The following is a 26,112-nucleotide window of genomic DNA, read 5'->3' as shown; positions in this document are numbered from 1 at the left end:
CCGGGTGGGGGCCACGCGCATCACAGGGTGGAGGAGCTGCCTGGTGGGGCGAAGGGACGGCTCGGCCCCACCCCCAAAGCGCGGGGACTCCCACACCAGGTCGGTGGCCTGAGCTGCTCCCAGCCTCAGAGCCTCTGCACAGCCCCATCGGGGGCCTGAGGAGGAAGGGTGACACCCAGGGCTCAGTGGTCTCAACAGTGAACCTGACCCCATAGCCTTGCTAGCCTAGAGGGGCCGCCCTGCCCCAGCCCAGCGGCCGGACCCCATGCAGAGTCGGGCGGCTCCCAGGGTCTTCTGCCCCTCTGGGCTGCAGTGGAGAGGTGGGGCCCGGAGGCTGCAGGCCCAGTCCCTCTGGGTGACAGGTCACGACTGGGGAGCGTCTGGGTCCTGGGTGCAGGGCCTCTCACAGTCCTAGAACAGGACTCCAGACCCACGTCCCTCCCTGGTTCTCTTTGGTTGCTAATCCACCCCAGTAGCCACCTCTGTGCCCTGCCCCTGGCCAGTTCACAGAAGCAGCAACACCACATACTCCAGGTCCAGGTTCCCAGAGAAGTCAAATTTGCCTCTTTCTGGCTCATGCAGGTTCCACGGAACATAGCTGCAACAGAAATGATAATTATAGGCTAGAGCATGTCATTCATTCCATTTCACCTCTCACATTACCTTCTTTAGCCCAAAAATCCAATATGATGGCTAAAGATATGTTTCTTCATGATTTTAGGACTGGAACCAAGAACTAAGTGAACTGATCTAGGGACCAGAATCGAGGGCAAGCCCTCTTCCCTCTGCATCAACAAGATTTGGATGAAGCATAAGACCGGCTGAGTAAAAGGTCAGGCGCTCTGACCCCAGTTAGCTTACCATGCCCACGCCCCATTGGAGAAGAAAATGTAACTTTATCAAAAAAACAGCTACAAGGAGTAAGGGGAAAGCTCGGTGATCATCCTATATTTACTGAAGCCCCGGAATTCCAAAACGGGCAACAGAATGAAGCTTCCAACTCGAAAGACAGGACAAGGGATGGAGCAGGCTCATGGACAGGCTCAACTCGAGAGGCGGAAGGGACGACTCATGGATGACACAGTGATGGCAGCTGCTCTTCTCCCGGCCCCACCCCATCGCTGGCTTTCGCAGAGCCTCTGCCCACTACAAAGAATATTCTCAGATGAAGGAGGAGAGCCTGCCTGGCTTCCAACCCAGACACACGAGCTCTGCCTTTCAGCAAGTGTCGTCGGTGCTGCTTCTGCGAGTCAGAGTGCTGAGCCTGCAGCACTCCCACAGCCTTCAGGAGTCCTTTCGGGGAAGTTGTCAAGGCTCGGCAGGTTTCTGTAACTCTTTAAGGAACTGTCTTCAAAATCAGTTCATAAACCACCCATGAAAAGCCATCTCCTTGATTTGTAATCACATATTTTTGCCTAAACATGGAATAATCCAGCCTGATCACCCCCTTTATTTCATAGACTTAGCGTCAAGTATCAGTTGGCAATTTGGGGGGAAAACCCATGAAAAGATCCAGGTTATTCACAACTGAGCACACTTTATAAATGATTTGCAAGTTCGACATTTTAGTGCGTGCCTACCATGTGCCAATCATCACAGCAGAGGCTGGGATGGCAACCACAGCATTCTAAGACCACTGCCCAAGAGGAGTGCTGAAAACTGGGGCCAGAGAGCCTCTCAGGCAGCTCTCCTGAAGAAGACTCCGTTCACTGGCTGTATAAACTGGAAGTGGGAAGACTGCTTGTAACACAAAAAGATTCGCTAGCACTGAATCACCTCCTCAATCTGCACTCACCGCCTTCCCTATACTCTTTTGTGCGACATTGCTACTGCGGTTCCTCTAGACCTCACATCCATTTCATGTCCCTTGGCGCCCATGAGTCAGGAGCTCTGTGGTGGGGAGGAGGAGGGAGACCCTGGCTCTCTCGCCCTGGGCAGAGGACCTGGGCCGGTTCCTCTTATATTTTTTCGCATGCAGACACCAGGCGCCCTGCTTAGGAACCAGGCTCCGGGGGGACAGGGGCAGCACCTACGTGGTGAGGGTGTTCAAGCCACAGGCCTTCATCTTCAGCAGGCGGTCCCTCCAGTACTCCCTGGGCACACGGAAATAGTGGATGGAGCCCCCGAAGATCCAGAAGGTGGAATCCTCCAGCATGAAGTTCCAGCCCTTGGCCTGCAGCCCCAGCTGTCGATGGCGGAGCCGCAGAGGGACCAGGGTGCTCCAGTCCAGCCTGGAAAGACAAAGACATTCTGGAGCCTGGAGGCTCCGGGCCGCAGAGAGATCGGCTTCCTCGCCCCTTCGCAGGTCCTCGGCATTTCTCTCTCGAGGGCGCCTGCGTCCAGGTGGCTGGGAAAAGCTCCCCTCCGCCTCAGCCAGACCTGGGAAGGGGTCTTTCTTCAGCACGGGGCCCCGCGGCAGGGGAAGGGCAGGCCGAGGCTGCAGCCGGCAGCAAGCACAGCACTCGGCATGGAGGCCGGCGGGCTGAAAGGAGAGACGGCAGCCGTCACGCCACGGGAGAGGCTGCTGCTGGGGCCGGGGCGGGGCGGGGCGGGCGCCGCACGGGCTTCACCGTGGCCAGCCCCGCGGCCACGCGCGACAGCGACTTCACACGGTACCTCCGAGCCCCGGCACGGTCGCAGCCGCCCGACCGCAGGAGCAGAGACCTGGAAAGAGGGTCTGCGTTGGCGGCGTCCACCCATCCACCCGATTCCAGGTCTTCATTATTTTCTGAAGACCGCGCACCCCCCACGAGGTGACCCAGCTAGAGCAGAGTCCCCCACGGGAAGGCCGTCGAAGGCTCCGGTCCGCGAGAAAGCGCCTCTCGGCATCTCTCGGGGTCGGCCCCAGGGAGCCCCTCAGCCGGGTCCCAGTGACTCGGTGCTGCCGGGTGGGTCTCCTTCCCACCCTGTCTCCCGAAAGCCGTGCGAGAAGCTGGGGAGACCCACATTTCAAGTCAGGAAGGTCAGGAAAGCTGGAGGCATGAAACAAGGGCGTGGCTGAGTCCGGGGCAGGAGCCGGTGCTGGGTGGCTGAGTCCGGGGCAGGAGCCGGTGTGGGCTGTGCCTTCGTCCCCACCGGCGCTCGCTCCTGCCCTGACACTAGCAGGCGGTGGCCAGCCGGGCCCCACTGCACAAGACGCCCCTCAGCTGAGTGTCACAGAGGGAGGGAACAAGCGAGAGGGCCCAGATGGCCAGAGACGGGGAGGGGGCAGGGTGCCCACAGGGCAGAAGACAGCTCGGACATCGCCAGCCTCTTGGGAATTTTGTCTGGGGCCACTCTCAGGCAAAGAAATTTGCTTTTTTACCTACTCCTTCCTACTTCTCACAGCCCCAGGGCCTTAGAACTCACACCGAAGCTCCAGGACTATGGTTCTGCTGTGTTACAGATGAAAGGGTCATCTCATCTTGGGCAACCTGGGAATCTGTTCACCACATTTTTCTTTTTCTAAAGAGAAAACTTCCATGTTCTAGTAAATGGCTTGCAAATGACATTTTAGGACACAGTTCTTCCAAAGGACTGTATGAGACAGTGACAGCAAAAACGCTAGCTGGAATAGGAAGATCCGGATGTGAATCCTGGCCCCCAGCTTGGTAGAACTGTCGCCTTGGGTTAGTGACACCAGTTCTGTGGGCAGGAGCTTCTTCCTCTATAAAACGAGTCTAATGCCTCTCCCAACTGCTCAGAAAGGCTGCTGTGAGGGTCCCGGAGAAATGCAACACTCTCTGCTGTGAGTCGAAGGGTCTTATCTCTATCTGAAATCAATTTATTGTAGCATGTGTTTGCGTATTAGAGAGTTATGGGAACCTATTCACCACACTTTTTTCTCCAAAGAGAAAGCTTTAGAGAGAATAGCCACAAGTGGGTTTTATGTCCCTAATGTGGAATAATCCCAACTTCTCCATTCTCCCCATGGTGGTATATAGCTTATGTGCTAGACTTTGTGCCAAGCCATCTTATGACAATTTCTAAAATTTGACAATGAAAGATTCTGTACACTGAGATCCTATTAGACCAACACAGCCTGTAGGCCAGAGGTGGGCCAACTTGGGCCTCGGGTCAAATCCAGCCTGCCATCTGTCTTTGTGCAGCCTGCAAGCTGAGGATAGCTTTCACATTTTTAAGTGGTTGGAAAAAAATCAAAAGCATAATATTTTGGGACACATAAAAAATTATATGAACTTCAGTGTTCATAAATCATTGTATTGGCACACAGCCACACCATCTACGAATGGCTTTTTGCAGTTGAGTACTTGCGATAGACTGCGTGGCCTGCAAAGCTGAAAATATGTGCGATCTGCCCTCTCCCAGAAACTCTGCTGGCCCACATCCTTGCAGATGAAGCCCTGGAGTGCTAAGACAAGGCCTCGGCCCCTCTGGGCCACCGTCCGGGCCTTCTTTTGGTGCCCCCTGCTCTGCTCACCAGGCGCTTTGCTTTGGCTACAGGCTCACAACTGCTCAGGCCACACCTGCTCCAAAGCACACACCCTGCCACCTGCTCAGCCCTCCCTGCCTCAGGTACTCACCAGACTCACCTGCCCGCCGCAACACAGGTTCTCCCCCTGGTTCCCTCAGAGGCACATGCTGGGCTCACCCCAGGCCAGAATGAGGAAGAACTGGATGGACAGATTATTTTCTTAAAAACAGGGGCATTTTGACAACCTGGTGGTGAAAATACACACACACATGCACATGCACACACACACAAAATATCACTGTTTTTAAAGACAGTGACAATACAACTTAGCAATCATTCCACCAGGTACCAAACCTTATTCTCCAGCCAGAACTTCAAAAGCACAATCTCCAATTCTTATTAAAGCACACATTACTTATCCTAACATCTACTTATGGGTGCGAGAGCCTCCACTCCCCACCCTGCTAAATGCAGAGGTGTAGGCAGGGTTGGAGAAGCCTCTCTGACCGACATTCCAACACAGTCCCTGCTAGGAACCAACACCTTTAACCTCTCCCCTTGATTAGTTGATGACTAAGGATCAGGAAACCTCCCTCTAGGCTGACTTCTCCAGGTGTGGTCTATAGACAGCCACACCTCTGAACTCCCTCAGGGTCACAGCCGCCTGACTCAAAGTGCAGACACCTGGAAAGAGGCATCCCAATTCAACAACTTCTATCCACCAACCAGATTTCCAGGTCTTCATCCGCAGCTTGTCAGAAATGCATAAACCTTAAGCCTTACTTGAGACCTACTGAATCAAAATCTGCATTCTAACCAATCCCAAGGTTACAGCTCGAGAAGCCCAATCTGCGTCTTCTCCTTGGACACTACGTAGACTCCCTCCCTGGATAGAGCTTGTCTTTGCTAGTGTCTTTATAACACACCATTTTCTATATTTTTAGAATGAAACGTTCTTCTCAGTGCATAGCAAGAGGAATGAAATAAACAACAAGAATAAAAAACAATCTAGCTGTTATCCAATTCCAAATTCTGGTGAATTCAACTGTTTCTTCATGGGAATTTTCTGGTAGGTTACTAGAGAAGTTGTCAATACCTTATTAAAAGGGATGGATTCACCAAGAAAATGAGGATGATACGTGTTGGGTTTCTCCAAGGAATTCACTGCTAGTAAATGAGACCATGCGAGTTACAGCTTCATAAACAACGAAGCATCATGTAAATGGCTATTAACACTGATAATGATCATTAATACTAATAATCATAAGACGGAGAATAACCCCATAATTTCCTGAGTAACTCAGTAATAATAAAATAAAGGAAATATCAACAGTGTGGTTGGAGTTGGTTGGTTTAAAGGTCAGCAAGACTTTACTCCTAAATTAGGCTTGATACCAAGCAGCTAACCAAATCCTAAGGAAGCCCAGCGTGTTTCTGTCACTTTTCTTGGGGAGCAGTTCATCCACGATGGACCTTTATCTGATGAAACCAGGAACACCTGCCTTCTTTTGAACTGGAGCTTATGTTAACACTTTCTGCTAGGATTCCTGTTGCCTATGTATCTCGGCTTCATTTATCCAAAGCGATTTTTCCACCTTAGAAGAGTCCGGACAGCAAACCCTGAACTCAGTGCTCAGTGCCCAGGTCTGCTCTGCTCAGAGTCAGGCTCCGCTCCTCCACCTGGATGGAGAGGGTGGCCATGGTCATGGTCCAAGGTGGGGTTCCTGGAGGAAGGCAGGCACATCAGGACTTCTGATGGGGCCGCGCACAACCTAACAAGACCTCTACAGCCCATCCTCACCAGTTCCCTTTTGGCAAGTGGAAAAGGGGCATGCACTATTCGTGCTGAAGGCTGGGCAAGCTGCAGACACAAAAATTGGTTGCAATGGAAACCTGAAGCAGAGGACATAGGTACCAAGTTCTGCTGTGCCCCGTGGTGAGGAAGCAGGGGGAGGTGGAGCCCTCTGGAGTAATTTTTCCTTGACTGGTGAGGTGGGTCCTGAGGATGAAGGGTACAGGGCAGGCCCCAGCAGGCAGGAGATTCCAGGTGTAGTAAAAAGTGCTCCCGGATGTGAGTGGATGGAAAAGGGCAGATGAGCAGGTGGCAAGGTCACCACCTCTTTCTGGGAATGGGACTGGCTGTCAAGTTTCAGAGGGGATCTTGCAGGGCGGCTGGGTGGGAGGTGAGCCAGATCCTGTCACCACCAGAAAGGATCTCCTTGAGTGAAGTGTGCCAGGCTTGAAATGCGTCCTGCCATGCCAGCGGGCATCCCTGCATCACCCGTCAATCCTGCAAACACTCATCAGGAACCGGGGTCATGGTACGGCTGGGAGGCCTCACTGGGGTCACAGTCATCTCTTTCTGGTCTGCCATGCAGAGTATGACCAGACACAGATAGGCCAGGATCCATGCAACCGGGCACAGCAGAACATCCGGAGTGCCGTGAACATCCGGAGTACGATGACCGCCGGTGGAGACCAGGCAGCACTCACGCAGTCCGAGGCTGGCCACCAGCATACGCAAGCTGGTATCTGAGTCAGGAACTGCAATCATTGTCCTTCGATTCCCAGAACATAAGTCCTTGCCGGCCCCAAAGGCTGGTTATTTTGATGCTATAACATAACGTGTTCACATACTTGTTCATCTGAGACGATAGCTTACAAATTCAATTTTTAGGTACACTGTGGCCCTATTAGGGCCTTCCTAAACAGAGGTTCAACTGAATCCAAATCCAGGGCATCCCATGAAGATCCTGACCAAGAAAACACTCACCTCCACCCTCCTCCAAGTGGCCATGCCAGAGGCCACCATGTGATGGCAAGTGTGTTCAGCTGCCCACAAAGACATCAAACACATGGGAATTCCTCACTTGGATGTGTCTTCAGTGCAGACTTCATCACTCTCAGGATTCTGGTTCGGTTCTAGGCTCCCATGAGGCTCAACTTCCTTGGACATCCTGCTGCCCTAAACTGTCTGTTTGGGGATATTTTGGTCCCAGCAGCCTTCAGCCATGTTCTCTCCACCCTCAGCAAAAGAATTTGAGGGCCTGAAGAAGGAACTATTCACTCTTTGGCCCAGATGGTGCCCTTAATGCCTCTACTCCAAAATATTGCCTCTTGGACCAATCCCCGGGCTCCAGGAACTTCAGCCTCAGGGAAATGGAAGTCGGTCCCTGTTTCTGGCCCAGCTTTCTATATGTGCTCCTTGGTCTGGGCCCAAGGTGTTGGACTCCTGTTTGCTGGGAGAGGCATTAAATACGCCCAAGGGCTTTGGCCTGCCATTCCCAAGGCAAGTATATGCATCTTGCAGAGATGTGAGGTCCCCAGCAAGAGGTCCACAGCACTCTTGCCATCCTAGCTCCTCTGCTTTTTCCTTTGAAAAGGCTCCCAGGTAAGGCAGGAACCCTGGCCTCACATCCAGGCTCTGACCCGGAAGCAATATTGGTGGTTCAGAGAGCAGTTATTTCCTAAAGACTGTAGGAAGTGAGTACATGAAGAAGAGTTTACTAGACCAAAACCTTGAGATCCAATAGTAAAGTAACAAAAACCCCTCACTCTAATCAACCATATAACAACAATAACAACAACAAAAAGTGTTCTAACATTCTGTTACTCTGTACTTTTGCAGTACTTTGGGACCATTGACAGCATCATAAACAGGAAAAGGACTGTGTCTCACCCAGAGAGAAAGCTCTGTTAGATAACACAAGGCCTCTACTCTTGATAACAAGCCCCTGATCTTCAAGATGCTTGTAGACTCTAAATGAAATGATATCACAAATACGGAAAAACATTATTATGTTAAATTTTTTTTTAATCCACCACATAGGACTTATCTATGAAGATATACAAGAGATGCACTGGCTCTTACAAGACTCAAGAATCGACTTGGCCCTATTGAGTTGGGCTCGGAATCTCCTTTACATTGATCCAACAGAAATAAAATGTACTATTTGGAAATGTCTATCAAGATTTAAAATGAATCTATCCTACGGTCAGCAATTCTACTTATAGAAATACATCCAACAGATATCTGCAGCAGCTTTGTTTACAGTAGCTAAAAGATTGCAAACAATCGATGTCCATCAGTAGAAGGCTGTTTAAATAAATTATGTGTCTAATGGACAAGTGGGATAATATGTGTAGCTATCTTCTTGTATATGCATAGAATATTTCTGAAAGAAGCCATTACCAGTAGTAACAGCTGATATGAATAGGGGATAGGGAAGGGTGCCTAGCCTAGGGGCCAGGAATGGGAGTTTCTTTTCACTTTATTCCCCTTCACACTCTGAATACTTACCATGTTCATTAATTGCCTACTCACAAAATAACTTCTTAAGGGAAAAAAATACAATCTGTGCTTGAAAGGAACAAGCCCACTGACTGTTTCGCTGAGTGTCAAAGAACAGAAGCTGTGAGTATCAACAAGGAGTCTCTAACAGGCAGACACGAGTCAAGAAATATCTACCTCGTTAGCAGGAGCCTCTAAAAACACCTGCTGCCTTTCTATCCCAGGAGACATCCACACATGAGAACTCTTTTTCAATACGGTCTTTAATATCCAGAGCAATAGATTTAAGCAAAAGCTAAAACTGAGTGGAGAGGAAGCAGCAAATATCCCAACATTGACACCAAAAAACCCTGCCCCTGCTGGTGATGGTGGAGAGGGAGGGAGGGAGGACGTGCCTAGACCCCAGAGTCCTTTTCAGGTCCAAATGTTCTCAAACCTTTCTCCGCAAGCTACAGCATCTCCTGAATTCTTCCCAGAAGAGCGTCTGACATGACCTCGTGGAACTCTGCACCACTTCATCAAGGACTACATGTTTTTATTTCACTTGCCACTTCCTTACCTTAAGGTGGGAAGAACCCTTTGGTCAACTTTCTGCTATTTCTGCAGCCCAGGCTCTTTGTCTCCAATCTTCTTGGTAGCCCAGTCCCTCCCTTGAATCACACCTATACCAATACTATGGCTGCTCCAAGACAACTCTGGTCTCCTTCTGCTGGTGGCTAGCATGGTCCTGTAAGAATCCCAGAGCCAACTCGATCTTCCTAGCACAGGGTGATTCAGACATCCCTCAACACCTGTATCCAACAGGTGATCACCTGCTGAAAGAGACACTTCCCCGATGCTGAAAACTTTACTACTACAAGATGAAAGGAACACTGTTCAAAGAGTTTGAACATTCCATGAAATATGACTCAGGCCTCAAGCAGAGAAGAGTCCTAGAATAGGCAAGGCCCATAAAATCAATTACCTCCCAGAAGCTCCAGAGGAGAGGCATGATTTGGCCACATACCCTTGGAAGACAGGACTGGCCATGATTCACATAAAAAAAAAAAAGTGACCTGCATTGCTAAGTTAGCCACCTTGTTCAGGAGAAAGAGTTTGATACATCTCCTCCTTTTCCTTTCTATAGGAAGAATTTGGGGTCTGGAATAAAGAAAACAGCAGGGCAGGGCAGTGTGTGAGACGGACCTCAGAGAAGAAATGAACTTACCTCTTAGGAGCATGATGCTGGCTGCCCACATGAAGGCTTTCCCCTCTCCCAACTTTCCCAGCTAAAATTTCAGGTATGAGAGATGCAGCGTTGCCTGTATTCTTGCTCGGTGATTCATTTATATTAAGGAAAAAATCATGAATGAGAACCATGCCTTTAGATAATATCAAGCAGGCATTCTTGTGTTCATGGAGTGCGAATAGGAAGAGAATGAAAGGCAACTGGCTCAAAGGCACGGTTCGCACTGATACGTGCATCGCAGACCTCAAAATAATACTCTGAGTGAAAGAAGCCAGACCAAAAAGGAAAACATGCTTTAAGATTACAATTCTATAAAACACTAGAAAATGCAAACCAATATATCGTGTCGGAAAGCAACAGATCAGTGGTTGCTTGGGGCTGGGGAGCAGGGAGGAGTAGGAGGGAGGGATGACAGAGAGGTACATGGAAACTTTGGGGGCTGGTGGCTGTTTTCACAATCTTAACTGTGGTGATAGATTCACAGCTGGATTTAGATATGTGTCAAAGCTTATCAAATTGTACATATTAATTAAACTCCAATAAAGGTAATTTTTAAGAAAGACCACTGTTTACGCTTAAAAAAAATAAAAATAAAAATTCTAAGACTGAAATCCTCCCCAAAAGTCAACCTGGTCATCCTAGTCTTTTGATATGATGTAACCCACCAGCTATGACTGACCGTGAACCAGCCCAAGGAAAAGTTGATGAAAAAAAAGAAAAGCTATAGCCAAACATCCCCCAGCCCATGCCAGCCACTGTCCAAATACCTGCCTTCTGCTACAGGAAAGGGGCTGCTCCTGACAGCTCGGCTCCACAAAGAGTGAACTTGGTGGCCAGTTTCCACGTGACCTATATTCCACTGGCCACCTCAACACTGCCCAGTAACAGCTGGGAGAGGCCCCACCTCCCACTCAGTTAATGACCCAGTCAGAGCTGGGGCAAGACAGGAAGAGGGAAAGACAAAGAGGATGTTCTCCTCCTGCCTCCAGAGATATTACAGCAACTCATACTCACTGGTGTCCAGCCCAAGTCAGACAGGAGGAACTGGCAGAATGTACCCATGAGGGTGAAAAAATCAAAAAGATGCCAAAAAGACACGTATTCCACAGGATCTGAAGACACGGCCCTGAACTTGGTTCAGAGCTCCTTGAGCTTCTGTTCTACCTGCTAGAAGGATGGAGAGGCAAGAAAAACATCCTTCCCAGGCAGGCCAAACTGTTTTCACAGAATTTGGTTGCAGCTCTTTATTCTCTGTTGCCATTCCACCTGCTCCAATGGCCCAAGACTGACTCCTAGTGCGGTCACCCCACCTAGGTGGGGACACAGTTACCTCACCTCAAAGAAGCTCAGGCGTCTTCCCAGCTAGGTCAGCTCCCTGCCACCTCACCTCTGTCCCACCAAACAATAACAAACCCTCAGCCTCCTTCGCATACCTTTTCCTGGGGACTTTTTGGGTGTACCACTCAGCCCATCTCAAGCCCACAGTGCTGCCCCAAATAGTGACCTGCCTGGGTCCCCTGCACGGACTCCTGTATCCCTGACCAACAACAGGCCTGCAGCCGCTAGCCTTTCTCTTGGCAGCTTGCACGCCTTGCTACCCTGCTGTATGCAGGAGGATCTGCTGCCGCTGCTCTGAGTAATTCTTCTGGGGTTTGCGTAAGCCTTGCACAGGGAGGAAAGCTGAGCATCCCACAGGAGCCAGGGCCAATCTTCAGAGAGGAATGGCTTAGAGATCTTAGGCAGGACAGAAAACATCTTGGGAACAACCGGAGAAGTTAAATGCCTGAAGTTTTCTGGGCCCCAGAATGAGAAGAAAATCCGTCCTTCTCCCAAACAATATCATGACGTCCCCACTATCTCAGAAACAAGAATCCAGTCTTGACAAGGTGTAAACATAGAGTTTGTCAGTGTGTTCTTCTGGCCACAAAGGACTTCCAGATATTTATCTCCATCAAAAACTTCCCTGTCTCCCAGGGGAAGTGCAGAGAAACTAAGAACTTAGTTTCTCTAAGTAAAAAAGAAGCAAATGACAAAGCCGAGCGGCGTAGGGCCTGCCACCACTTCCAACCGTTCAGTTCATTCGATACTGCCGGTCGGCTTCCCACTGGAGGTTTTGAATATGGAAAGTGCTGACCTGAAAGATAGGGTCAGGGCTGTAGAATCCTTAAAATAAGCACAGTTTAGAAAAATGCTGGGCTAGGGCACCCAGAAAACTTTTTCACAGGCTGTGGGTAAATCACAGTATCACTGAAGCCACTCCTTTGCCATAAACAACATTTGGAAAAGGGGGAGAGGAAAGGGTGAGCTGGTAACAGGTGAATGGTGGGAAAGTGGAGAGAGACGACCTATCAGTCCTACTGTGCAAATAAATCATGGCCCGGGATCTTGGAGGCCCACGGACACTGTTCTTACGACCCTGCCAGGCCAGCTGGCTAGACCATACCTGCCAGGCTGAAGCGCCGGCCTCTGCGGAATAAGGCGCCTCCCAGAGGCTTGGGAGGAAAAGGGGGGCCTGGGGGAAGGGCAGAGGGAGCTCTCCGCGGAGCAGTGGGGACGGGGCCGCGATGGGGTGCGTCTGAGAGGGCTCTGACGGCTGGAGGGCTGCGGGCGTCCACGGGGGGCAGAGCCCGGCGTCACAGGCGCGGCGGGGTGGGCGGCTCGGGGCACAGACGCCGGCTCCCGAGGGCACGCCGGGTGTCGCCCAGAGGCCTGGATCGCGCGGCAGGAGTAGAGTGCCTGCAGCCGCAGGGGAACTCGGGGGTATTGGGGAGCTCCCAGAAAGAAGCAGCTGGGGCTGCTCCCCCCGGGAACTCGGGATTCGCGGGTCGCGGGAGGAGAGAACCCGAGGTGCGGAGGGCTGGGGAATGTGGGGTCCGGCAGGTGCTGCGCGAAGCTCTCTCTCACCTGCGGAGCACCAGGAAGCCCAAGACGACCAGCAGCAGGAGTCCCAGCGTGCGGGCCGGCCTCCGCCGGAGGCTCCACGTGGTCATCGCGTGTTCTCTAAGCGCGGGGACCCGGGTTCCCACTCCAGTCCGCACTCAGCCGCGCGCGGGAGCCTCGCCGCGGGGGGCGGAGCCGCGCACTGGTCGCCTGGGCAACCGGCCCGCCGGCGCTCATTGGCTGGGGCTCGCGGCTCCGCGCCTGCAGCCCTAGGCCTCGCGCAAGCGGGGGCGGGGCTGGCCGGGGCCGGGGCGGGGCCTCTGTCGGGGGGGGGGCGGGGCGGGGCTGGTGGGCGGGGACGAGGTCTCGGTAGGAGAGGGGGCTGGCGGGGGCGGGGCTGGCGGGGCGGGGCCCCGGCCGGGGGCGGGGCGGGGACAAGGTCTCGGTAGGGGACGGGTCTGGCCGGGGCGGGTCCCCAGTGTCGTGGAGCGGTGCAGAGTCCGCCGTCTTTCTGCTCGCGAGGCGCAGGCGGGTGCGGGAATGCTGCGTACCTGTCAAACGCCGAGGTAAAGTCGCCCCTCGCAGCGCTACATCAGGAAGAACGTACAAAAGGCGTCCGCAAAGCAGGGGCAACCAACAGAATCTTTTAAAACAATTCAGATTCTGAAGCAAACAACTTTTTCAATAACAAATCATCCTGTGAAAAGCCAGGATTTTGAAGAATTGTATCTGGACACATTTCAGTGTGGTTCATGTCTGAGGAGGGGGGGTTCCAAATATTTTCTGTCTTTGGTTTCTGCGAGTCTTACTCTGGCCTTGACTCCAAGGGCTTCCAATTTTTTATTTTAAAAAGGTCCATATAAAACTCTCACATTTTAGGAAAGGAAGAATATCATTCTTATTCTGAAACAGAATGTATGTCCCAAAGAACATGATGTAGTATTTCGGTGCAACTTACACTGTAGCAATCACAAACCCAACTCCTCCCGGGAACAAAATTCAGATTTTACTGAAAGAAACTCGAGGAAGGGCAACGTTTTCCAGAGCATCCGGGTTTGTCGAATGTCTCCCTTGCCGCATGCTTTGAATTCATTTCCTAAACGGGGGCATAGTTTTGAACTTGTAAAGCCGACAGGAACCAAATGAAATTGCAGATCTTGGAACAAAGACACAGACTTGGGTATGAAGTGTCCTTTGTCTAGCGTTAAGCACATATTTAGTCAAGGAGCAAAAGTTAAATCAAAGAGAGGCAAAAACAAACGAACAAACAAGAGGAAAAAAACCCTGGCAGAACTGGGGAGGATAAGCTGGGCTTGGAGCAATCCGGGTCTGACTTAAGCACCGCAAACATTCCCAGAGGCGCGCAGAGGGAGGCCCACTCCCGTGGACGCGCTCCAAGCCCGCTCCTTTTCTCCATTGGGTAAGGCTATGATTGCTTGATGGCTATGAAGTCTGTGATGGAAACATGTTGGTTTAATTGGAATATACCAGCTAGCCCCGAAGCGTGTGGAGAAATTGTCAAAGGCTAGCCCCTTTGCCTGCAGGGGACCATCCGAAAGACATGCACCCCACATTCATCCTCTCACTTCTGGTCACGTTGAACAGTGGCAGAATCTATCAAATATAAGGGAATTCTCAAATGGTTTAAGCAATACAAGCATCTCCATTTTTCTTCAAACGTTAGCAAAAACTTAACATGGGTTGTGAAAACCGTGAACTCCTTGGCCCACCCTTGTATCCTTCGTTTTTATTTGTGCGAGAAAAATATACATAACTGAGTGTTTTCAAAAAAATTTCCCCTTAACCTTGTGGGATGTTCAGAACTAGGGACACACCCTGCTCACAGTCTAGGAACAATTTTACTTTATCTGGGCTTAATGATACCACAGAATGCTACAAAGTTAGCACTAACCCGAGATGCGTCTTGCTCATAGGCTGAGACTTTTTTTTTTTTTTTTGAGACAGAGTCTCACTCTGTTACCCAGGCTGGAGTGCAGTGGTGCAATCTCAGCTCACTGCAATGCCTCCCGGGATGCAAGCTATTCTCCTGCCTCAGTCTCCCGAATAGGTGGGACTGCAGGCACCCACCACCTTCCCCGGCTAATTTTTGTATTTTTAGTAGAGACGGGGTTTCACCATGTTGCCCAGGCAGATCTCAAACTCTTGACCTCAGGTGATCCACCTGCCTCGGCCTCCCAAAGGGCTGGGATTACAGGCGTGAGTCACCATTTCCAGCCTGAGACTTTTGTTTTTTAAAACATTAGGCCGGGTGCGGTGGCTCAAGCCTGAATCCCAGCACTTTGGGAGGCCGAGGGGGGCAGATCACGAGGTCAGGAGATCGAGACCATCCTGGCTAACACGGTGAAACCCCATCTCTACTAAAAATACAAAAATTAGCCGGGCGTAGTGGCGGGCGCCTGTAGTCCCAGCTACTCAAGAGGCTGAGGCAGGAGAATGGCGTGAACCCAGGAGGCAGAGCTTGCAGTGAGCCGAGATCGTGCCACTGCACTCCAGCTTGGGCGACAGAGCGAGACTCCGTCTCAAAAAAAAAAAAAAAAAAAAATTAGCAAGATACTCCTTCAGTGTCTCCTTTCCAAAATGTTTAGTGATCTTAACCCAAAGCAGACAGTGAAAATACTCAAATCCCTGGGAACAAAAGCTACAGTTACAATGAGCTGGCATAAGAGTGGGGTAAAAAAGTGGTCTGCCAAGGTGCTTGGCTTGGTAATGAATCCCTGGTACACAGGAATCATCCTCTTCCCAGGCCTTCTTTCTAGTGTCCAGGGTTTAGAAAATACAAGAAATGCTTTTTAAAAAAGTTAAATCTTGTTGGTGTGCCATTTCCATTGCTCTAAGTCAGAGCTCCAACAGACCCAGAGGGCACAGTTCCTTCCTTGAAAATTCCTGTATCACAGATAATCAGCGGGAAACCGAAACACATACAAAATGCACACACAGGAGAATAAAAACCACACTCGCTCAAAATCAGTACAGTGAAGTCACGTGGGAAAAGCGATCATGTCAAACTAGTCTCATTTGCTGTTTCACTTTTTATTTTTAATAGGTAACAGGTTTACAGATCAGTTATTCATTCACGTAACTCATTTTTGAGGGCACTCTGCTAATGCTTTAAACACAGGATATCTGAATTTTAGGAAAACATTGGCAAAATTTCTTTTAGTCATGAGAATAAGATGAAAAATGTGGCTTCTACGATAGTACAGTCACTTGGGCCCCTGGACCAAGATATAACCCTCTCCTCCCCACCTCCTCCTTATGGACAGACACCTCTGTCCAGCAACCCCCATCCACCCTCCCCTCAGGAGAAGCAAAGTCCAGTTATGATGTCAAGTTGCCAGGGGTCTTGAACAAAGAAATTCAGAGCACAGGAGAATTCCTGGGAATAAATGAGGGCCATTTCAACCCTAGCCAAAACAAAATAGAAAGTCCTGGAATGGAGATTTGGCCTAGGAAAAAGAAAAGAGAAGGCAGATTTAAGATAAAGGAAGTAGACAAAGCTTTTCAGCCCCAAAGATATGTGAGTGGGACTGGAAGGGGCCTGTGCACATCCGATAAGGATGCACAGAACTTGATCTTTGGCCTTACCAAGCCTAACTATCATTTTGTAGGCTCAGCCTTTGAAGGCCTAATAGCCAAAGATCTAATTCTGCAGCATTGTATTTATTAAAAAGTAAATGACAAATTTTAATGACCATAAACAACATACTGAACACTGTTTCACATGCTTGGGATGTATCAGTGGACAGAACAAAGATCTCTTCTCTTTGAAATTTCTGTTCTAGCTAGGGAAGAAAGACAATAAAACTTAACAGAATGAATAAGTAAACTGTAGAGTATATTCAAAGGTAGTAAACTCCATTGCAAAAATTTAAGAAGTAATAAGGGAGCCAGGCCCAGTGACTCACGCCTGTAATCCCAGCACTTTGAGAGGCTGAGACAGGCAGATCATTTGAGATCAGGTGTTCAAGACCAGTCTGGCCAACATGGTGAAACCCCGTCTCTACTAAAAATACAAAAATTAGCCAGAAATTGCTTGAACCCTGAAAGTGGAGGTTGCAGTGAGCCAAGATCATTCCACTGCACTCCAGCCCGGGCAACAGAGTGAGACTCCATCTCAAAAAAAAAAAAAAAAAAAAGTAATAAGGGAAGGAGGACTGGGAATGTGGTGGGGAGGGGTCTGCAGAGAGGCGGTCTCCCCGGAAAGACATTAGCTGAACAAAGATCGGAACACAGTGGGAGTTCTCCATGCAAGCGAACCAAGATAGAACCTGGAGGAAGCACTGTCCAAGCAGACAGAGCAGCTCGTACCAAGGCCCTCAGGAAGGAGCATGACCTGGTGTCCCTGGTGTCCAAGGAAAGGCTAGGAGGACAGCGTGGGAGGTGATGGCAAGAAGGCAGGAGATGAGGACAGAGAGATACAGGGGCCTGATCATGCAGGGCCTTTAAGAGCAGGGCTTTGACTCTGAATGAAATGGGAGCCACTGCATGGTTTGAACATGGCGGTGATGATAACTTAGAAGGATCACTGGTGCCATGCAGTAATCCATATGGGAGACGATGCTGGCTCAGGGGACAGCGGTGGAGGTAGTGAGAAGTGTTGAATTTTTGGGAGTATTCGGAAAGCAGACATGAGAGGGTTGTTGCAATTCGTGGATTGTTTGTAGGGGGAGAGAAATAAAGGGGGCTTAAGAATGTCTCCCACAGGCTGGGCCTGAGAAACAAGAAGTGCTGGTCGCTGTGACCTGAGATGGGGAAGGTCATGGGCAAGTTTCTGGGAGACATCAGTAGCTCAGCTTGGACCTGCTGCATTGAGTGGAGTGGAGTGGAGACACCACGCAGGCTGCTGAACATCAATCCTGATGGTCCAGAAAGAGGTTTGGGATGGAGATACGAATTTAGGAGTTGACAGAGAGCTGGTATTTAAAGGCAAGAACCTGCACCAATTAACAAAGTGCAGACCGAGAAAGGGGATGGGGACAAGCCCTGGCACACCTAACACTGAGAAAAGGCAAGGAACCATGCCACCAACAGGTGAGGTTAAAGCAACACTGAGGATCGACCCGTGGATTTAGTATGTGGTAAACGTTGGTGAACTGGACACAGGCAGCTTGGGTGGAGTTGGGGGTCATGGGATTTGGGAAGCCAACTGGAATGGGTTCGGGAAGGAAGGGTGAAGAGAAATCTAAGACCATTAATGTAGATGACTCTTTTGAGAATATAGGCTAGAAAGGGGACACATAGGCTGGGTGCGGTAGTTTACGCCTTCAATCCCGGCAATTTAGGAGGCCGAGGCGGGTGGATCACCTGAGGTCAGGAGTTCGAGACCAGCCTGGCCAATATGGTGAAACTCCATTTCTACTAAAAATACAAAACTTAGCTGGGCGTGGTGGTGGGTGCCTGTAATCCCAGCTACTCAGGAGGCTGAGGCAGGAGAATCACTTGAACCAGGGAGGCAGAGGTTGCAGTGAGCTGAGATCACACTACTGCACTATAGCCTGGGCAACAAGAGCAAAACTCCATCTCAAAAATAAATAAATAAATAAGAAAGGGAATACATAAATGGGATGGTAACTGGGGCAGAAGAGGGAACTGAATCAAGAGCCGTGTTCTATTTTCATTTCTACTACAGCATGCTTGTATGCTGATAGTGATCTTGATCAGCAGACAAAACTGGTGAGGTAGGACAGACCGTAGAGAATTTCTGTTGTGAAACCCTTGAGGAGGTAAAGTGTAGGGACAAGGTGACCAAGTGAAGGGATTAGCTTTAGGTTGGAGCATATGAGATAGTTTAAGTCCTCACTGAACTCTTGACAACAGAGTGATCACTGAGGTTAATTTCAAATCCACGTCGTAACCCTGCCAGATGTGAGAGTGAGGCGTGTCACCGGAATTTGTTGTTAATATCAGAACACGCTTACCCCTCTGTATCTGTGGGTTCTGCATCTGTGGATTCAACCAACCATGGATTAAAAATTTTTTTTGTAAAAAATTCACATCTAGAGTGGAGGGACTGGGGATAGTTAATGGGTACAAAAATATATTTAGATAGAATGAATAAGATCTAGTATCTAATTTAGATAGAATTTAGATAGAATGAATAAGATCTAGTATCTAATAGGTAGTAACAGGATAACTACAATCAACAATAACTTATCGTACATTTAAAAATAACTGTGGGAGGCCAGGCACGGTGGCTCACGCCTCTAATCCCAGCACTTTGGGAGGCCAAGGCGGGTGGATCACAAGGTCAGGAGTTCAAGACCAGTCTGACCAACATGGTGAAACCCCATCTCTACTAAAAATACAAAAATTAGCCGGCATGGTGGAGCATGGCTGTAATCCCAGCTACTCAGGAGGCAGAGGCAGGAGAATTGCTTGAACCTGGGAGGTTGCAGTGAGCCAAGATCGCGCCACTGCACTCCAGCCTGGGTGACAGAGAGAGTCCGTTTACATGGGAGTATAATTGGATGGTTTGTAACACAAAGAAAGGATAAATGCTTGAGGTGATGGACGCCCCATTTACCTTGATGTGATTATTACACATTGCACACCTGTATCAAAATACCTCATGCACTCCATAAATATATACACCTACTATGTACCCATAGATTTTTAAATTAAAACGAAGAAAACTACAAAGAAAACACATGTGTACTGAACATGTACAAACTTTTTTCCTGTCATTATTCCCTGAACAATACAGTATAACCCTATTTACATAGCATTTACATTGTATTAAGTATTATAAATAATCTCAAGATGATTGAAAGGATACAAGTGAACGTGCATAGATTATATGCAAATACTGCCTCATTTCATATCAGGGACTTGAGCACCTGTGGATTTCGGTATCCATAGTAGATGGTGGAACTGGTCCCCCACGGATGCTGCAGGACGACTGTACTCACTTTGAAATGCAAGTATGCATTTGAGATGTAACATAAAGTGAAACATTAAAATGTTATCAGCAGGTTAAAGTGAAATAAAGCAATTACTGATTATTATAAAAACTGTTGATTTAATGTCCAAAAACAATTATTAAGAATTTTCAAATGTTGAAGCACCTAAGGAAACAGATTGACAGCTCATGTGAATGTGGAGAGCATACATTAGCTTTATAACTTTATAACTTTGGGAAGAATATGATATCCTCTTTAAGCCAACAATGTATAGAAAATATGTTTTTAAAATATAAAATGTAGTATAAAATATGTAAACATTTTATATCATATGAATTATAAATTTAAATGTATAAGTAATAAATATATATTAACACAATAAAGATTATGTTATATCACAATTTTTATCATTTTAGAATTGCTTGATGAGTACCATTTATTACACTAAACAACATGCATGTGTTTTTTATAAAAATGTGGTTTATACCAAATTTATTGTTATTATTTAATATCATTCAGGCCATGAATCTTTGAAGAAAAAGTCTTCTTTGGGGATTCTTGCCACCTCAAATTTCATGAGAAGGCAAATCTCCAAAATTATGTGCAGCTACATCTATGATAAATCATTTTCAGCTCAGACAGAACAAAGAACAGACAAGGTACAAAGAAAAAACGATAGTGGTCGGCAAAAATTAGGCACATTATGTTCTCACTAATCCAACTTCAAAAGACAGATTTATAATAACACTTTTAAAAGATAATTTCTTATAGCTTTGAGTCTGCAGAGACTAAATAAAAAGCTTCTCAGGATAATTGCTATATGCTGGTATTTTTAGTAGTTTTTTGGCTGCCAAAGAATTGTTTAAATCTGCCCAAGTTATGACTTCGAGGTACAAAGCTCCTTCTACAAAACATGCTACTAAAATATGTTTTCCTGAATTATATTTTACTGTGTATCAATCAGTGATATTATTAAAATATCCATGTCTTGTATATCAGATATTTGGGCATGCAGAAACAAATAGAAGTTGCCTTAAAGTTGGGTACGGTAGATTAAGTTTGGTATGGTAGATTAACGAAAACTTTAACAATTCTTCTCCTTTATTCTTTGCCATGATTTCTGAGTATAGCACAGCAACCCAAGAAATAGTTATGAAATGAAAAATTAGGATATAAAGTTGCCATGCAATTATCATTGGCAAAGAAAGAACAAACATGGCTAAGGCCATAAGTGGCTTAGGAATTACAGATGTGTAATTGCTTCATTCACGACTTTTAGCTCTGTATTTAGAAAGAAATTTCAGCACAGTATAAGGTAGGGCCTCTTCAACCAAAAACAGAGTACACGACATAAAAAAGATTTTGAAACTCTCTTGTCTCTTTACTTTATGCAAGACGTTCAGAAAGGTTGAATAGCAACTAAAACATGCTTTTTAAAAAGCTTCAGCAAAAAAGAAAAAAAAAGGCTTAATATTACACTTTGCAGAGAATAACAGCAACACAGGCCTTACAAGCAACTAATGATTTATTTGCTGGAATGTGCTGAAGAAGTAAATCCATTGATATGGCCAGAGAGAAGTTATTCTTCCATGACACCTGATGAAAAACACTACCACCTTTCTGTGGAAATGAAAGCTGAAATGCACATACAATTTAAGAGATTACTTTTTTTTTTTTTAGACGGGGTCTCGCTCTGTCGCCCAGGCTGGAGTGCAGTGGTGCCATCTCGGCTCACTGCAAGCTCCGCCTCCCGGGTTCAAGCGATTCTCCTGCCTCAGCCTCCCAAGTAGCTGGGATTACATGCACCCACCACCAGGCCGACTAATTGTGTGTGTGTGTGTGTGTGTGTGTGTGTACGTGTGTGTGTGTGTGCGCACGCATGTGTGTGTGTTTAGTAGAGACGGGGTTTCACCACGTTGGCCAGGCTGGTCACAAACGCCTGACCTCAGGTGATGCATTCACCTTGGCCTTTCAAAGTGCTGGGATTACAGGCATAAGCCACCGCGCCCAGCCAATTTTTGTTATCTTAAAGTCCAATTGCATGACTTCATTGTTACATGTTTGGATTCAATGTTTAAGAGGACAAGTTTTTAGGGAAATGCAAATCAAAACCACAGTGAGATAACATTTCATACTCACTAGGATGGCTGTAATCAAAAAGAGAGCTTAAAATCAAGTGTTGGTGAGGATGTGGCGAACTTAGAAACCTAATACCTTGTTGGTGGGAACTGTAAAGTGCTGCAGCCACTTTGGAAACAGTTTAATGCTTTATGGAAAAGTTAAACACAGAATTACCGTATGACCCAGCAATTCCTCTTCCAGGTATATAACCAAGAGAATGGAAAACATACGACCACACAAAAACTTATGCATGAATATTCATAGTAGCATTATTCATAATATCCAAAAAGTGGAAACAACTCAAATAATCATCCACTGATGAATGGATAAACAAAATGCTATGTATCCATACAATGGAACATTATTCAGCCATGAAAAAGGATAGAATATACATGCTACAGCATCCATGAAGCTTGAAAACGTTAAGCTACATGAAAGAAGCCAAACACAAAGGGTCACATATTCGATTCCACTTTCGTAAAATGTTCAGAATAGGCAAATCCACAGAGACAGAAAGTAAATTCATAGTTGCCAGGGGCTGGGTGGAAAGGGGAATCAGGAGTAACTACTGACAGGTTAAGGGCTGCTATCTGGAGTGATGAAAATGTTCTAGATCAGATGGTGATGATGCTGGTACAATCTCGTGAATATATCCTACTAAAAACTACTGAATTGTAGACTTTAAAAGAGTTTACAACTCATTTTGAAAAATTTTATGGTATATGAATCGTATCTCAACTTTTTAAGTAGAACAAACGTTTCTCAAGTACAAGGTACTTTTATTTTTCTATTTCTACATATAGATCTGGAAATGTTTGCTTTACATATTATGAAGCTACATTTTCAGACAAAAACAAGTCAAAATTAGTATATCTTTCTCAGGAATTGAATTTCCATTACTATGGGTAACCCTCTATACCTAGTAACACCTTCTGTCTTTAAGTCTACTTGCCTGATGTTAATACAGTTACTATAGTTCCTTCAGTTAGAATTTGCATAGCATATTTTTTATCCTTGGACTTTCGATCATTGCATCTTTATGTTAAAGGTGTATCTCTTGTAAAACTCAAATATTTATAGTTTTCTTTAAATAATGTCTGACAATTTTTACCGTTTAGAGTTTAGCGCATTTATAAAATTTACTATGGTTGCTGATATATCTGTATTTATTCTACTGTCTTAATATGTGTTTCTACTTGTACTTTTTTTTTTATTATACTTTAAGTTCTAGGGTACATGTGCACAACGTGCAGGTTTGTTACATATGTATACATGTGCCATGTTGGTGTGCGGCACCCATTAACTCCTCATTTACATTAGGTGTATGTCCTAATGCTATCCCTCCCAACTCCCCCCACCCCATGACAGGCCCCAGTGTGTGATGTTCCCCTTCCTGTGTCCATGTGTTCTCATTGTTCAATTCCCACCTATGAGTGAGAACATGCAGGGTCTGGTTTTCTGTCCTTGCGATAGTTTGCTGAGAATGATGGTTTCCAGCTTCATCCATGTCCCTACAAAGGACATGAACTCCTCCTTTTTTATGGCTGCATAGTATTCCATGGAGTATATGTGCCATATTTTCTTAATCCAGTCTATCATTGATAGACATTTGGGTTGGTTCCAAGTCTTTGCTACTGTGAATAGTGCCACAATAAACATACGTGTGCATGTGTCTTTATAGCAGCATGATTTATACTTGTACTTATTTTTCTACTTCTTTATCTTCTACTATCTTTTGTCTTTTATTGGTTAGAGGATTTTGTTTGTTTGTTTTTTCTTACTCTATTTATCCTCCTAATTTTTTTAGAAAGTTAAAAGCTCTATGTATATTCTTTAAACATTAAGCTTAGTTTATTAACTAGGAATATTCAACAAAGTCTAAAGTTAATATCTGAGAATTACAGAAATCTTAGATCACTTTTTGGCCATCACATCCCTCTCGCTTTACACAGTGTTTTTGCCTGGTCTTAGAGTTTTATGCTGATGCTACCTCAAGTTAGACATTGGCTCTATTTCTATGGAGTTAACGTTTGTCCATATTCACTCTCACATATGTCAGCATCCTTCTTGGATTCCACGTTCTTTCTTAAAAGTCAGACTTTCCATCTGCTCGTGGCATATCTTTTAGAAATTTCTTCTCAACTGTGGTTCCCTGAGAGCGTGAAGATGTAATGCCCCAAGACATCCACAGTATGTAATGAGTTAACGTCTCTAATATGCATCCAGATGATATAATGAGAAACTAGTCACTGAAGACACTTTCTGCAGTGTTTAATTCTCTTATGGGACATTGAGAAAGGCCGCTACAGAACATCATTTAGTGGGGATCTTTTGATGATAACTCTCTTGGTTTTTGTTTGTCAGAAAGTTCTATATTTTGTTTTTTTTTTTTGTTTTTCTTGTAAAATAGTTTTGCTGGGTAAAGAATTCTAAGTTGTGAGCTCTTTTTCTCTAAGTGCACTGAAAGCATTATATCTTCTGAATAGCATTTTTGCATTCATATTTGGAAAAGACTGGCATACGTGTGGAACTAAGGTAGTAGCGAAAGAGGAGGTGCCAATCAGAGAGACATGATTTCAAATACCTCTTTGAACCTTGGTTTCTCATCTGTAAAATGGATATGTTGCATGGTTGTTGTTAAGTTTAGATGTTGCAGATGTTACACCTGAAATATAATATGTACTCAAGATCATTATGATTATTAGTTCTGCTTCCCTCCTTTACATTGCAGTTTCTATAGAGTTCATAGGTTTGAGGCTAGATCCCCAGAGAATAAAGTTTTATGTAGAATTGTGGAGGTATCTCACAGAAGTTTCCTCCATTGAAATAGTCATTCAGACTAGTGGGAGAGAAGATAATCTGACATCTTTATCTTCATTCCAATCCAAACAGAGGGTTCTCTTCCCTCTGGACACAAGATTACTTACTAAATTACTTGAAAGCCCTAGGCACTATATTTAACAGGGTGATAAGATTTGCTTATAGTGCATTGGTTTGAATTTAGGCCAAGTGCTGTGTTTTGTATATAAGAAAGTGCTTGGTTCCCAATGGTGCCATTTTTTTCAAATGGCTCCACTGGCTTTTCATAGTGGTTGGAATATTCATGTGTGTGTGGCTAATCTCACTAATGCCTACCCACTATCAGTAGTAGCCTTGACTATAGCCAGATAGACAGGGAGTAAGAAGACACAGAGAACCCTGCGCTAGCTTTGTTGTCACACGTGTCTGAAGCAAATGACCAAATTTCTGTTCCTTCTCTGATTAGATGTGACATGCAGGGTCACCTTGTAGACACATAGTTGAAGGGAAATGAAAGACATTGTTCATTGCCCTCTCCTTTCCCCTACTCCTACATACACACACACACATGCACGCGCGCGCGCACACACACACACACACACACACATACACAGAGAGAGAGAGAGAGAGAGAGAGAGAGGAGGGAGACCGTGAGTTTGCCCATTAGTACATGCAATACTCTCTCTGGCATGAGGAAATCAGTATCCTTACTCTTCCCCAGGCTTCAGACCTTTCCCTTCCCTTCAATTGAGTATGGGAGGCAGAAATGAAACTTGTTTTTATTTTATTCACATCTACTCAAAGGCACGTTTAATTAAAGAATAAGAGCCTGCTAAGGATTAAGCATTTAACTAGATAAATCAGTCATTAAAGATTTTGAAGACTTTTTAAAGCCTAAAAATAGGCATCATATAGATAGACTACAAAATACATAACAATTCCTCTGCTGTTTTGTTGTTGTTGTTATTTTCACATTTTTGCTATTGTAGGCAACACTGTGTTTGATAGTCTTAACATAAATCTTATTCCTCAAAAATGACTTATAGATGAACTCCAGCAACCCAAAAAATATGTTCACGGCCGGGAGTGGTGGCTCACGCCTGTAATCCCAGTACTTTGGGAGGCTGAGGAGAGCAGATCACAAGGTCAGGAGATTGGGACCATCCTGGCTAACTTGGTGAAACCCCATCTCTACTAAAAATACAAAAAATTAGCCAGGCGTGGTGGCGTGCACCTGTAGTCCCAGCTGCTGGGGAGGCTGAGGCAGGAGAATGGCGTGAACCCGAGAGGCTGAGCTTGCAGTGAGCAGAGATTGTGCCACTGCACTCCAGCCTGGGCGACAAAGTGAGACTCCATCTCAAAAAAAAAAAAAAATGTTCAGACACAGTTTTACAGCGTGGGCTTGTCTGTAGATTTGATATCTGAGCCACTCATCATCTTCTCAAACAAGATGACCTGA

At 46.4% G+C, this 26,112-nt stretch overlaps 2 protein-coding genes across 19 annotated transcripts in view, besides 1 other annotated feature; both read right to left on the bottom strand.

Annotated features, from left to right (window-relative positions):
- GLB1L2 (galactosidase beta 1 like 2) overlaps positions 1-12,997 on the bottom strand; it is a 44,337-nt gene extending 31,340 nt beyond the window's left edge. For all 6 annotated transcript variants that reach the window (XR_007062523.1, NM_001370460.1, NM_001370461.1 and 3 more), the window contains exons 1-3: positions 12,838-12,997; positions 2,034-2,231; positions 530-598 (exon numbers count right to left, since the gene is read on the bottom strand). Coding sequence is in view for 5 of the 6 variants with exons in the window: in NM_001370460.1 (NP_001357389.1) it covers positions 530-598; positions 2,034-2,231; positions 12,838-12,923 (353 nt within the window). In the remaining variant the exon portion in view is untranslated. The remainder of the gene's footprint in view (positions 1-529; positions 599-2,033; positions 2,232-12,837) is intronic.
- Positions 12,848-13,147: a silencer, noted in NCBI's record as "silent region_4098". NCBI's record gives its function as "represses an Ori minimal core promoter by ATAC-STARR-seq in GM12878 lymphoblastoid cells {active_cell/tissue: GM12878}" and the evidence as "EXISTENCE:reporter gene assay evidence [ECO:0000049][PMID:35858748]".
- Positions 19,681-26,112, bottom strand: part of GLB1L3 (galactosidase beta 1 like 3) — a 49,538-nt gene continuing 43,106 nt past the window's right edge. For 11 of the 13 annotated variants that reach the window (XM_011542566.3, XM_011542569.3, XM_011542568.3 and 8 more), the window contains one exon: positions 25,421-26,108. In XM_011542566.3, the coding sequence (XP_011540868.1) occupies positions 26,043-26,108 (66 nt within the window). In that variant the 3' untranslated portion in view covers positions 25,421-26,042. Of the gene's footprint in view, positions 19,742-23,616; positions 24,520-25,420; positions 26,109-26,112 lie in introns of those variants that run through there. The other 2 variants (XR_002957120.2, XM_011542567.3) reach the window with 2 other exon arrangements.

The sequence above is a fragment of the Homo sapiens genome, chromosome 11 (genome assembly GCF_000001405.40).
Source record: "Homo sapiens chromosome 11, GRCh38.p14 Primary Assembly".
In the NCBI taxonomy this organism is placed as follows: Eukaryota; Metazoa; Chordata; class Mammalia; order Primates; family Hominidae; genus Homo; species Homo sapiens.
This window is presented reverse-complemented; position numbering and strand designations above follow the sequence as displayed.